Source organism: Homo sapiens, chromosome X (assembly GCF_000001405.40).
Source record: "Homo sapiens chromosome X, GRCh38.p14 Primary Assembly".
Taxonomy (NCBI): domain Eukaryota; kingdom Metazoa; phylum Chordata; class Mammalia; order Primates; family Hominidae; genus Homo; species Homo sapiens.
In genome coordinates this window covers 15,819,491-15,833,833 of record NC_000023.11, presented here as the reverse complement: position 1 = coordinate 15,833,833, position 14,343 = coordinate 15,819,491, and the positions used below count along the sequence as shown (strand labels likewise).

At 35.5% G+C, this 14,343-nt stretch overlaps 2 protein-coding genes across 11 annotated transcripts in view; one reads left to right on the top strand and one right to left on the bottom strand.

Annotated features, from left to right (window-relative positions):
- The window catches only part of AP1S2 (adaptor related protein complex 1 subunit sigma 2), a 29,008-nt gene extending 20,980 nt beyond the window's left edge, over positions 1-8,028 (top strand). For 2 of the 9 annotated variants that reach the window (NM_003916.5, NM_001440865.1), the window contains one exon: positions 6,462-8,028. In NM_003916.5, the coding sequence (NP_003907.3) occupies positions 6,462-6,509 (48 nt within the window). In that variant the 3' untranslated portion in view covers positions 6,510-8,028. Of the gene's footprint in view, positions 1-309; positions 3,776-5,633; positions 5,643-6,461 lie in introns of those variants that run through there. The other 7 variants (NR_160933.1, NR_160932.1, NM_001272071.2 and 4 more) reach the window with 7 other exon arrangements.
- Positions 10,574-14,343, bottom strand: part of ZRSR2 (zinc finger CCCH-type, RNA binding motif and serine/arginine rich 2) — a 32,777-nt gene continuing 29,007 nt past the window's right edge. For both annotated transcript variants that reach the window (NM_005089.4, XM_011545589.4), the window contains 2 exons: positions 13,518-13,627; positions 10,574-11,103 (listed from right to left, as the gene is read on the bottom strand). In NM_005089.4, coding sequence (NP_005080.1) covers positions 10,592-11,103; positions 13,518-13,627 — 622 coding nt within the window. In that variant the 3' untranslated portion in view covers positions 10,574-10,591. The remainder of the gene's footprint in view (positions 11,104-13,517; positions 13,628-14,343) is intronic.

The following is a 14,343-nucleotide window of genomic DNA, read 5'->3' as shown; positions in this document are numbered from 1 at the left end:
CTTTACTCTCACCCTCCCTAATTCCTAATTGATATAATTTTTATGTGACTCACAAGAGGTACTGGTGGTAAGAGGTATAAACTGGAATTTATAATTGAATCTACTTTCTTTGTATCTGAAAGAAAAATATTTTGGTTAATTATGGGCATATAATTTAGCTAAAAAATTACCTTAAATGTTAAGTGGTCCTTAAGGCATTTATAACAGAACTTTTTCAGACCCTAGAAGTCTAAACTGGGAAATTATTTAAAACGTTATTAAAGCAATTTAAAATGGTAAAAATAATACATTTATTTTTGTGCATTTTAGAGTTTCTTTTCTTCTTGAAGGATGTTTTTCCAGTGAAGAGGGGTTTCTCCCTATGAAGAGTATTCTCACATTTAATAGATGGTAATTTCTTACTTAAGTACAGTAATATGGATCAATGGCTATAAAGAATAGTTTGGCTTATCATCAACCCTTTTCTTTCCTAAAAGCAGTAAAAGGTGTGTCAGGGTATAAGTGGTGGAAATGCCTGGGTGGTCACATTGAGAATTGTTCCTGTAGAATTGCTGGTGTAGTTCATAGTAAGTCTCCTGGGGAGGAATGGTTGCATACTCCGCCCTGTTTGGGAAACCACCTCTTCTCTTTTAATGAGCGTAAGCTCTCGATGGTTGGTTTTTACATGGTATGATAGAAAATTAAGAGAGAAAAGAAAAAGATGATAAACTATAATATAAAGGCTCAAAGAACTGGTATTATTTAGGCAAAAGGTTATTTGACAGATTGGTATTATTTAGGCAAAAGGTTATTTGACAGACTTAAACTTTTCTTGTTCTCTCTCCAGAAAACAGAGACTATGTATCACAGCAAGAGTTTCATTGGGTTTAAGAAAGCGTACTAGAATACGTGCTGGAGTACTGACATGCATCAAAATGTAGTAGGATATATAAATTCAGTTTGTAATGACAATTTTGTCAAGTTTGTTATTTATATTTTAGCATTACCTGAAAAGTCTAATTACATTAAATCCCAAGGGATAGTCCCAATTACTTCATTAAACTGGTATTTTCATAGGGAATTTTGCTTGGATAATGATCCATTATTGGGGCTTATAATTTATTTTTTACACAGAATATGGAAATAGCTTCAGAGGTTCATTGACAATAAAGCATTCATTAAATACTGTGAATCACTAATGCCATTGATACAGAAGAATTTCCCTATGAAAATGAGAGCTTCTGTGAGAAAATGAAGTAGTTGGGAGTTTAATTTCTTATTAATATGATTTTAACTTGCTGCTTCATTCCACTATATTCTGAGTTGGGGGAAAAGGGCAGCTATCTCTTTAAAATATTTAGGAATTCTTTGAGGATTAAAATGTAACTGGCTTTTGTCCTCAGATACGTTTGTAATTAATGGTTGTGTAAGTTTAGGGATTTGTTAGATATTTTTCTTGGAACAGTTTACATGATTTTGTAGTTCAACATTTCAAAGTTTCAACTTGAATAAATATTAAAATGAGGATACTTTAAAGACACTCAAATAAGCAATTTTAAACTTGCTTTCTGGTGGGGATATAATCCCTTTGAGAGTCTGAAGGATGATGGGCTGTCACCCCAGGAAAATTTGCACATCATTTTGTTTCTAATTTCAGGGAACTCTCAGAGCCCCTAGAAGTCCTTCTGTAGACACTCAAATCTGGAGAGTTCGTTAAAATCTGTCTTGAGGATTTTTAAAAAAGTAATATCCTCAGTCTCAGTCAAATTCTTTGGATTTTTTGCTTTTGTAGGTATAAGTAAACGGTTAAAAACCTTCATTGCTACTTAAAATACCAGATGAGTGACTACTTTTCCAGTTTTTATTGGGAAAGATTTTTCTCTAGGTTCTTTAGTTTATGTAATACAAATGAACTAATGAATTTAAATACTGGTGGAAGGGGAATATTCTAATTGAATTTTTGGTCAACTCAGTATTGACCAGATGACTTACACTGAAAATCTTTTCATAATATTAGTAGTAAATATAGTGTTTTAGGATTTTGTAAAATTTCTGGAGGATGTCTGTCATCATTTTGAACACTGTATGTAGTAAAGTTAGAAAAAAATGAATCTAAAGTCTTGGGCATTGTTTAGAAGTTAAATATTCAGCCTTAAACCAAAGAATGAAAGCAAACAGAAACTTAAGTTTTAGTTATCTTTACTGTGAGCTAAATGTTCTAGAAATCTGATTGTGTCTGTGTCAGTTTGTATACTGTGTGTAAGAATATATGCATTTCTTTTGTAGCCACGTCATGAATATTTTAATGTCCCTGTGTACTAAATGACTACTCATCGAGTATGCAGAATTTCACAGAGGAAATAGAATGCTGATATACATATGAAAGAAAATATCCTCAGCATGGTGATTTATTGTCTTGTATAATAATAGTAGAACATTTTAGAACTAGTACTTTTATGATTGTATTTTTTTCCTGTTCACATTCCAAACTTTTCTGTTTTATTTTCATTCTATATGTGATCTTGATACAGCTCATTCCTTTCTGCAACTGATTTAATCTCATCTTGACAAAATATGACCTAGAAGTGTTTTGAGTAATATTAAATCTTAAACACATACATATTATTAATGAACCATCTGTGATTTATCTTATAAGAGGAAAACATGACAATCATTAAAATGTTTACCAAAGAAAATATAGCTGAAGTGCTAGGTCAAAATAAGCAGTGCCATAATATATAGTGTAGTTTGGTCTTCAAATATGGAGGTTAAAAAAAGAAACTATTTTGTGTGATTATCTTACAATCTGTATGAGCTAATGTGTTCTAATGTATCACATAAAAGTATATGTGAAAATATTACAAGAAACTAAAATTAATTTGTACCATTATATAATATTTAAGGTTAAAACATTCAGTATTAAGAAATTTTGTAGTGCCACATTTATTGAATCACATTTGTGCTATATAATAATATCAAACAATCCCTTTAAGAACTTATTAGAGAGCTATGTCTGAAGTCTGTTCTGCAATATCTGTTGCTGAATAATAACTCTTTCAAAGCATTAATGCTGAGTTTATATAGTTCAAAAATTCTAATATTCATTCAGTTTTAATACCTAAATACTTATATTTTACTAGTGATGGCATTCTAATATATTAAGTCCTCATTTAAATACTTGATACTTTGTTAACTGTGGCATTATATTTCTGAATTTTAAAACCTTTAATATTGGTAACTATTGCATATTCTTTTAATAAAACATGCAGCATATTTTTTTATAAAAGGAAAAGAATTCATTGTTTATATCTAGAGAGCATAAAGCCTAAGTTAAGTAAGTTATTAAACAATAACTTCACAAGATGTTCAAATCGATTTATCACTGAAAGAAGATCTATGAAAATGTGTTTTGACCAAACTTAGTATTAGGCAGGTACACAGATAAGATTTTCCATTCTTAACATTCTCACTGTAATGCACGACATTTGAAGCACCTGGATGTGCTATCAATCAGGTGGGAAATTTAGCATTATATATTGGAAGCATTGAGAAACATTGGTCTTTCATTTCTATTTTTTTTTCCCCTCCTTTCCTCCTCCTGCCCCACAATATATTATTCATCTGGTTTTAATGCTACATAAATATGCATTGTCTCATGCCTGTTTGTGTTGGATGCCTTGTGCTAAGCTGTAACAAAATGTTGCTTCTTTTGCTGTCTGTATACAGCTGCTTGCTTTAAATTAGTAGATTCTGAAATAGCTTTCCTTGCATGTCTAAAATAAAAGTATTGCATGTACTTCGTCTCATGTGAATGACTTTTTCTTTTCCATCCCTCATAAAATAACGTTTTATATTTTCATTTTTCTAGGCAAATTTTTTAAATTGTGGTTAAAAACACATAACACAGAATTCACCATCTTACGCAGTTTTAAGTGTACAGTTCAGTTGTGTTAGTTAAGTTTATTCACATTGTTGTGCAGCAGATCTGCAGGACTTTTTCATCTGGCAGAACTGAAACTCTATACCCATTAATCAACAATTCCCCATTTCTCCCTGTCCCCCAGCCCCTGGCAACCACCATTCGACTTTCTGTTTCTATAAATTTTACTACTTTAGATAGATAATAGTTTTTCTGGGTAGTTTTGAGCTACAATTTCAGTGTGAACATGTGTAAGTTCCATTTTATATTATCACCACAATTTATTTTAAAACTCTACCTGTGCAAGTCTCACAAGAATAAAATGTGTAAATAATTCTTTGAAACTAGGCCTTTTAGAAAGGACACATATTTTCAATAATGCATATTTGATAAGCAGTATGATTCTCTACAGGAAATGCTATATAAGATTGCAGGCAGTGAGCACATGGGGAAAAGTCTGACCAGCTCCACGGAGTAGCTGTGGGGCATTTTTACATGGAGAAGCTGAGAATGTAAACTGTAGAATTCAATGGAGGCATTATTTAATTGATACATTCAAGGCTACATGAACCTTTAAACTACTTAACATTACATGGAAATAATTATTTTAAATTTTTCTTGAATATTTATGAGATTTAGATGTCATTCTCAGTGTATTTAATGCTTAAGGCTAAATATAAATGAAAGGGATTGGCTTACATCACTCTTGGGTGTTACATCATTTCCACTGGACTTTCTTAAAAAACTTTATCATGAAAACTTCAAGACTCACGAGTATAGGAAATAGTATAAAGAACCCTCGTGTACACATCACTGAGCTTCAAGAACCATCAACTTAATACTGTTTCCCCAACCACTCCCCGCATTTTTGCCTCAGTATCTTAGAGCAAGCCCTAGACATCTTGTCAGTTTGTCTTTAATACTTCAGTATGTGTCCCTAACAGATAAAGTACCATGCCCCACAAAATTAACAGGAATTAATAATTACTATCTTATGCCTGGCTCAATTTTTCCTAATTGTCTGAAAAATGCCTTTTTATATTTGGTTTGTTAGAATCAGATTCCAACCAAGACTCTCACATTGTATCTGATTGATGTGCGTTTTAAGTCTCTTTTAATCTTTAACAAATCGTCTGCTTTTTCCCGCCTTGCCATTTTTTTTTTTTAAAACGAGGTCATTTATGCTGCAGGATGTCCTACCTTATGGATTTGGCCATCATACTCATATGGCAATGTTTAGCTGTTCTTATATCCCTCATTTCTATTTAGATCTGTAACCTGACTAGATTGAGGTTCAATTTGAGGGGGCAAGAATACTTCATAGGTTAGACTCTTTTTAAAAAAATACCTTTTTTCGCTAAAGCTGATTTTTACCCATTTTTATTACTATGCAGACATACTAAAAGGTCATCATATGAGCTTTATAAGTAGAATTGGTGTATAGTACTTGCGTTTAATAATAAATGCTAAATCATTTCGATTTCAATTGTGTAACTATATCACCTAACATTTTTGAAGCACTTTCTATAAATTAGGCAGAGCCTTAATTCACTTAATCTCAACATATGAAGGTAAGTACTATTATCCATGTTTTCCAAATAAGGAAACAGACCATAGAGTTTAAGTAATTTACTTAAGATTACACCATGAAGTGCTTTACATGCAATTAATATTCTAAAGATTTATGGTTTAATATAATTTCTCTTCTCCTTGCTTTGTGCTGTACCATGATTAGGATGCGAAAGTAAGTTTATTACTGGATGCCAAAAATTTATATTATTTTCCATCATTAAAATATAGTGTTGCCTTTTAATTACAAAATTCGTTGCTAGTAATACCTGAAAGTTGGCCTCCTTGGTCCTTTATTTTGTGATTTGCAAAATCAGCCACTTTGGAAAATTATTAAATAATTTTTTCCTGGATATGCTTACTTTGTTTTGACCTCCTTTGACACTTAAAAACCAGTGCTGGTTGCTACATAGAATAAAAATGCCTTTGGCCCATGGCATTCTTTGCATATGTGGCCTCTAGTGATGCCATTGGTTGCACTGGGGAGGTCTGGGAAGATAGCTGTTTCTGAAGACTTGCCGCTGTGGACACAGTTAACTAAAAACTCCAAGAGGAAGACATTTCTATAAATGCATGTGACAAAAAGCATGGAACACAACAGTAGGCGAAGAACTGTGGGAACTCGGAGGGAAGAGGTTTTGAATTTTACCACTAAGATAACTTATCTTTCATATATATAATTGAGTAGCAGTGATTTCATAAATTGCCAGCAGGTTTGCACTGGGCTTGACTGCTTTTTGCATGACAGCAACGGCATCTAGCACATTGGTAGGTAATTAGCAGGTACTTAATGAATGCTGAAAACGTCCTTTTGTGGTCTCCAATTTTGAGGGCACAAAACCCTAAATAACCAATGGCTGTCAACTAGAATGCTACTGTGACACGAAATTGCTTTCTTGATTCTCTAAAACAAGCATGTTCTTCCATGTCAATGTTTCACATTCTCAAGACTCCCTGGATCTGCTTACCAGAGTCTCACATTTTCCCTCCACAGGAAGCTGAAACCCCACGTAGTGTTCTTGAAGAAATTGGACTGACATAACTCTCCTCCCTTGTTGATGACTTCTTGTGGCATTTCACACACTGTAGATGGTCACTCCCTTCATGTCCATGTTAGCTCATGGTGTAAGATGATGTCTTGTCAGTATTACTGTTTTGCTAAGCCGCTTCATTCATGCCTACACAATTTTTTTTTAAAAGGGAACTTTAGTTAATTAAGTGATAAGGGACTTAAATATGAATTAGAATGGTGCAGAAAGAGATACCTTTTCTGGATATTTTAAAGTTTAAAGGTCAGTTTCTCTTAATCTGATTATGTGCACATATGAAAATGGCACATCATATACATGTAAAATCAGGCAGTATACATTTATTAATTACTGTATTTGACAAAGGAAACTCTTAAATTATAATGTGAAACCTGGTTTTATGAAACCAAAGACTAGTGCAGCATTTCAGCATATGTAAAAAAAAAAAAAAAGGGAATTGACATGTCACATATCAAATGAATGGAAACTTTGTTGAAACTTTAAAAAGCAAATTTACTCCAAAGACTTGTATTGGAAATTACATACCTTTTTTTTTTTTTTTTAAAGGACTACAGATTATTTTTAATGACTAAATTGGAGTGATACTTCTTACACTAAAAATTATTTCTTAGGCATTCTGAATCTGGGATGAGAAACAGGATTGTTTCACAATAGTAAGCACATAATTTTTAAGGCCAAGGCACATTTGACTCCTGAGATGAATTTTTTGTGGTCATAATCAAATACTTAGTTGTTTTTGATGCCCCAAAATAAAGTGAGAATGGTAATTTGCCAGGAATTCTTCATAACAGTATCTTACAAAAAACGTGTTGCTCTCTTCACAGTATTATGTGTAAAGTCATTGTTTAAAGCACGAATGTTCCCTCTGGGGTACTTGTTAAAGCTAAATTTATTTTGCTTCCCTCCACTTAGAAGTGCTGCACACTTTACAGCAGCTTCCTTTCTTTCCATGGCACTGCCTAGTTAACAGAAGTCTTATAAAAATTTAAAAAGACACATTTCTTACAAAAAAGAGTTGAATGAGGTAAAATGGCATTAGATGGCTCTATATTTTTTAAAGCTATGTAATTGTTCAGCGTCACTTTTCTAAGTACTTATACATATCTAAACATGTCTTCATGGTTTATATTTTCACTTATATATGCTGGGCTGGATTAAGCTTTGTTGTGATTGTGACCAACATTCAGGCCACGTGAGCACTGTCTTATCACATCGCCAATTAGTTGTAATAAACGTTCAACGTACAAACACTGGAGTGTGTTTTTATCTCTTTCCAAAAGTTTGTCAAACTATGCAGAGCTGCTGAAGGAAGAATTTCTCATTTTTTTTTCAGTAAAATGTTGAAAATTCCCCTCCATTTGAATATGGTGGTTGTTATAAGCACACACAAGATACATGGTGGAAGATCTAAGGAGTCTTCATGTACTTCATTAAAAAATAACATGGATTCCATACTGAGAGCCTATCTACACATTTATTTTCAATCAATAAATGCTGCTTTTAAAACCTTGATGCAGTTGACTTTTCTACTCTTTCTGAATGAACAACTTAGACTGTTACTCAAAAGGTATTTCAAATCAACTGGATTCCTCTTACCCCCTTGTGAACTGAAGGTGCTAGCACATGCAACAGAAAGGGACTAATACTTGCAGACTGTACTACCTAACCTATGCAACAAATCAAATCTATGGTAATCATGATAGTTAAGGGACCTCCTATTACTACAGATAGGAAATGTTACATTCTAAAACTGGGCTATTTAAGAAGGAGGCAGGAACTACCATCAAATTAAGTTGCTAGTCTACTGGAAAAAAAGACGTTTATAGGTTTAAAAAGCCTCCAACATGCAGCTAGCTATTCACTGAAAACAGGCCTGTGGGTTTCTGCTAGCAATGTATAGTTGGAATTTTTGAAACATAAATAGTAATCAGGCAATATATATTAAAAAAAACTAATAAATTTAAGTTCAAGATGGACATTTATCAGGATAATGAACCAGTCAGTGGTTTAAAAACTTCCTGCCCTTCTACCCTGCCTATTAACATTTGAGGGGAAAGTCATCAATATCTCAGTTGTCCTGAGCTCAAGATGGTGGTTTTCTTTCTTAGCCTCCATGATTTATTAAGATTTCAGCTTTGCAGACCACATTTAATTGCATATATCTTGACTGTATTTAGAAAAGTATTAAAAAATACTGAATTTAATGATAATTACTCGGCGTTACTGAAATCAGTAGATAGTTCTAGGTCAATCATTTTCAGGGTGAAGCAGGCATTTAGAGTCTGGAACAAATCCAACTTTTTAAAGTGAAATTATCCTGGGCCACATGCATGATTTCTTTTATTGACTACACATGAAAGAACTCTCATCCTTAACAGATATCATGCAGAAATTCCAATTTTGAGGAAACTTTCTTCCTACTTAAATTTCGTTAACGTTTCAGTATTTTACGTATGTTTTAAGTCCTTATTCCCAAATCTCAAATTGAAAAATGTCACATACTCCAAAATTCTAGATCCCAAATATGTCAATGGAAAGAAAGCGACAAAAAATTGATAAAGCTGGAGAGCATCTTATTTATGATCAGAAATCTAGGTATAATATTTTGCCTGAAGCTTTTTCTGCATTAGGTTCTATTCTCTGACCATTCTGTTGAGATTTTTATACCAGGATTGCTTTAACACTAGGCATATTTAGTACCAATGACCCTAATATTCCTGGAAATGACAAAAATAAACTTTACTCCTATATAAAGAACTTTCCAACACACTATTTAAAAAAGTACACGACAGCCCCCAGCTGAAGAGTAGGAGGAAAAAAAATGGACTTTGCCCATCAGTACTTTAAAACTGAGAAAATGAACTTTAAAGCAAAAAAGCTGTTCAGCTATTACATATAGAAAAATCCAATAGATTATTAATAAAAGGCAAACAAGCAGGGCTCACCTGTAGTTTCAGATATTCAGGAGGCTGAGCCAAGAAGATCGCTTGAGCCCAGGAGTTTGAGGCTACAGTGCACAATGATCATGTGAACAGCCACTGCCCTCCAGTCTGGGCAACATAGCAAGACCCTGTCTCTAAAAAAAGGGGTAGGGGGCCAACAAGAATAAAAAAACATTAAATATATGAACACATAAAATTTATCAAATTGGTAAGGATTAAAATTACTTGGCGTTGTGGGAGCAGCAAAGTTTATTGACATAATAAATTTTTTATAGTCTTCTGGCAGGCAACTTGGAAATATTTTAGTATTCATGTCCTTGATACAATTTATCCTAAGGAAATGATCAAAAATATGTGGAAGTATTTAAGAAAATCCATCACAGGATTGATTTCAGCACAGGATTCTTGAATAGTACAAAATTAAAAATCTAACAATGAGGATATGGTTGAAAAAACTGATCCATATTGTGCAGTGAGTAAAACGAAGAATAGGGCTTGATGAAGTATGACTGCTTCTTGTGAATAAAAGCATATTCAACTGCATTCATATGTGTTCTTTGTATTAAAAAATGTGTACATAGGGCTGGGTGTGGTGGATCACACCTATAATCCCAGCGCTTTGGGAAGACAAGGTGGGAGGATCACTTGAGCCCAGGAGTTCAAAACCAGCTTGGGCAACATGGCAAAACGCTGTCTCCACAAAACAATGTTTAAAAATTAGCCAGGTGTGGTGGTGTGTACCTTGTAGTCTCAGCTACTTGGGTGGCTGAGATGGGAAGATCACCTGAGCCCAAGAGTTTGAGGCTGCAGTGAGCTATGATCACGCCACTGCTCGTGAGAACCTATCTCTAAAAAAAAAGAAAAAAGTGTACACACTAAAACAATGCTCCAATGTTTAGTTCTCTCTCAGGGTTAGGATTACAAGTAATTTTCATGTTGTTATTTATGTATTTTATGTTTTCTATACTAACCATACTTCATGATTATAAGAGAATAAAAATATTTTTAAATAGAATTCCAGGCTACACAGGGTTCAGCCAGACTTGCGAACCCATCTGCGTTCATAGCCTTCTATCCGAGTATGTAGCAACCATAATAAATAAGATATACAATCATTTAAGAACAAAACTAGTTTATTTGGATTTGGGACTCTGAACAGTTCTGTCTCTATTACCCGACCTCCTCCTGCCACGACTTCGGGACCTAGAGGAACTTTGGCTCCGGCTGCGGCGGCTCCTGCGGCTCCGGCTCCGGCTCCGGCTCCGGCTGCCCCGGCCCCGGCTGCGGTCCCTGCTGCGGTCCCTATTTCTTCCTCTGCTTCGTGAATTGTGCCTCTCCCGACTCTTTGATGTGCGTTTGTGAGATTTCTTCCCCCTGTGACGACTACTTTTCCTCTCGGATTCCCCATTTCTTTTGTAGGAGTGGTCTGGACTAGGGTTTCTCCTTCCCCGCAGCCTGCTGTAGTAGTCGTCGTGGTGGCCCATCCTCTCCCTCCTTTCGGAGTTCTTCCCAAAGGAGGAGCCAGTCCGATCTGGAGACAAGTAGATGTCTCTATTAGCTTCCCAGAATTCATTGTTGGGATTTCTGAACACATGAAGAAAGTTGCAGTGCTTTCCTCTTGGACATTGTTGTATTTCAAATAAACCTGCAATGGCACAGTGATGAAACAGCACTTATCACTGCATATTCTGAAGATGCTACTTTATCCTTTTCCGAAGGTACATTTCTGATATTTGGATATGCTAGAACTATTTTCTACTGTGTATTATGTAAAAGGGGCTTACATAAATTGATGTCATAATTTGGTTCCCACGATTTCAAACGTGCTCTAATAAATGACACTCTGAAAGGTAACAAATCAGAAGTTTTCATTAAGCAGAATAGCCTGTGCCCCTGTTGGATTATGGTGCAGACTGCAACTGAGCAAATGGTGACCACGTTATCTTCTCCAGGTTTCACCTTCCCACTGATTGACGATTTTGATCCCTGATTAACATCAAATAGCCAGCTCTTTGGGTCCCTGTGGTAGCACGGTTTGATGGCATGGAGGAAACAGGCCAGAACCACTGGTCAAAAGAGAAGGCGTGGCCAGGTGCGGTGGCTCACACCTGTAATCCTAACACTTTGGGAGGCTGAGGCGGGCACAGACCTGAGGTCAGGAGTTTGAGACCAGCCTGGCCAACATGGCGAAACCCCATCTCTACTAAAAATACAAAAATTAGCTGGGCGTGGTGGCAGGCGCTTGTAATCCCAGCTACTCAGGAGGCGGAGGCATGAGAATCACTTAAACCCAGGAGGTGGAGGTTGCAGTGAGCCAAAATTATGCCACTGCACTCCAGCCTGGGCGACAGAGTGAGACTCACTCTCAAAAAAAAAAGAGAAGGCCTATTAAACATAGAGGAGTCTATATTTTCTTTAAACTTTAAGATTATAAACATTACACTAATGCTTCAAATTCACTAAGTGCTTTTAATACAGAAGATTCTTATCACAGATAAAATCTATTCGAACAATTTTGAGATCTTTGGGGTTCTCAAACGTTTTTTAAAAGCAGTAAATTCCCCAGATATGCACAACAGTTAGAAGTGAAATACCTCCGTACCACATACTATATACAAAAATTAAACTGTATCCAAGACCTAAATGTTAAGAAATGAAACTATGACCTTGAAGAAAACATACAAGTAAATCTTTGTGACCCTGGGCTAAGCAATGTCATCCTAGATGTGACACCAAAACAAACAAAAAAATAGTTAAGTTGGATTTCATCAAAATTTACAACTTGTATTTCAAAAGAACATGAAGTGAAAAGAACCTACAAAATGGGAGAAAATATCTGCAAATCATATTTGTGACCAGGTACTTGTATGGAGAATATACCAAGAACTCTTACAACTCAATAATAAAAAGACAAAGAGCCTAGTTAGAAAATAGGCAAAGGATCCAAACAGACATCTCTCCAAAGAAGACATACAAATGGCCAATAATGAAAAGATGCTCAGTGTCTTTAGTCAATAAGGAAAATAAAGTGTTTTTTTTTTTTTAATGAAATAGTCCCCTGCTTTGGAGGAGTCAAGGTCACACTCAGAAGCTCCTCACTGAACTCACACTGGATTCCCAGGAACTGACAAAAGTAACTGCCTTTATGGAGCGAACAATTCCACCTCTTCCATCCCCCGAGCCTTTAAAGTGTAATGGTTCTTCTGGTTTCCCTTAGCCAGGAATCCTAAAATCTTTCTTTTCCCTTCATAAATGGTTTCAGAATGACAGAATCCAAGGAAGACAAGCTTGCCAAAGATTCTGACTTTGCGTTAGGCAGGCATGTATACAGCAAAGAAACACAAGTAAACGGTAAGATAAGTGCTCCCCAGAGGCATTTAGAGCTCATCTCTTTTCACCTAGGGAACAGTCCACTGAGAGAAATCAGAACATAACTAGGCCTTCAAAACTGCTGGCTATTCTGCACAAGACTGGATCATTTCCTGATTGGGTTGCCACTGTCCGATGTCAGTCTGACTGCATTCATGTTTAACTGATCCCAAGCCTACAATTAGTCTCTAGTGCACAGAAGGATGTATTATTCCAAGTAAGGCAGGAAATGCTATGGGCAAGGTAACGTAGGTGGTCATGACAGAAGATTCATTAGGGATAAAGATGGAAAGAAAGAAACAAACAAACAGCTCAAGTGAAGTGAGCCAATGAATATAAAATACCTCTGAAACTGCAACAAGGGAAATGGGGCTTCCACAGACGTAAACTCCTCAGGCTTCCTGATTTGTCAGACACAGAGCCCAGGACTGAAGATTGGAAGACTGGAATTCTAGCCCCACCTCTGTCACCAATACGTTGTGACCTCAGTCACTTCATCTATCAAGTGACTCATTGAGGTCGGTTACAGATCTAAACTGTGGTGTTCTTTATATAAAGTTCTCTGCTCATCTACTGTGTGAGGCAAAAAGCTATGCCTCACCACTTGAAAATACTGGGTTTCCCCCAAAGAATATCCCTTTATATAGCAGTGGAACAATTGAGGAAAAAAATCATCACTTTGTCTTTTACCACAAATCGCCATTTTCCACCGGGTCACGGGGCAGAATTCACACTGCAGCTGTCGTCCTGCATACCATCGTCCGTTAAACAGAGAAAGGGCTGCTTGGCATTCTTCTTCCCTTTAAACCAAAAATCAAATGATATGCTTTACAGTAACTTCCTAATATGTAGATTAGCTCTACTATTAATTAACCCCGTTATTAATTTATTGTAGGACCACCAAGTTCACTGATTTTGTACCTAGGGAAGAGTCATTAAAATGGTCAAGCTCCCAAAGCTCCCAATTTATTCAGGAACCCTTTTTACTAACCCTCGGAGAGGTTTCAATGCATGGAAATTGGCTTGAATGAAACCGTCTTAATCCAAAAGATTGGACCATTAAAAATGCAGAAGTGTTTTCCATTATTAGGGCCTATTCTTTCTCAGATAGGATTGCTGTTCTTCTTATTACACTGGTTAATTTAACCCATTAGCCATGGTATGGCCTAGGCAAACAGCAAGATAAGAAGAAATGATACATTAATTGCTCTCTTAGCTGGTCAAATGCACACTAAGATGATTTTGGGCTTCAATCTCCGGCTCTTTCACTATAAATGCTTTTATGTTCTCTATTCTAGTTATCCCTTATTAGTTTGTATTTTAATTATTAAAATTATGAGTAATAATATAACCATATTGTAAAACATTCAAAACTATGTAAATATATAAAGAATGAAATATAAATTTATTATTTTTTTCTTTTTGAGATGGAGTCTTACTCTCACTCTGTCCCCCAGGCTAGAGTGTCGTGGTACAGTCATACCTCACTGCAGCCTCGACCTCCTGGGCTCAAGTG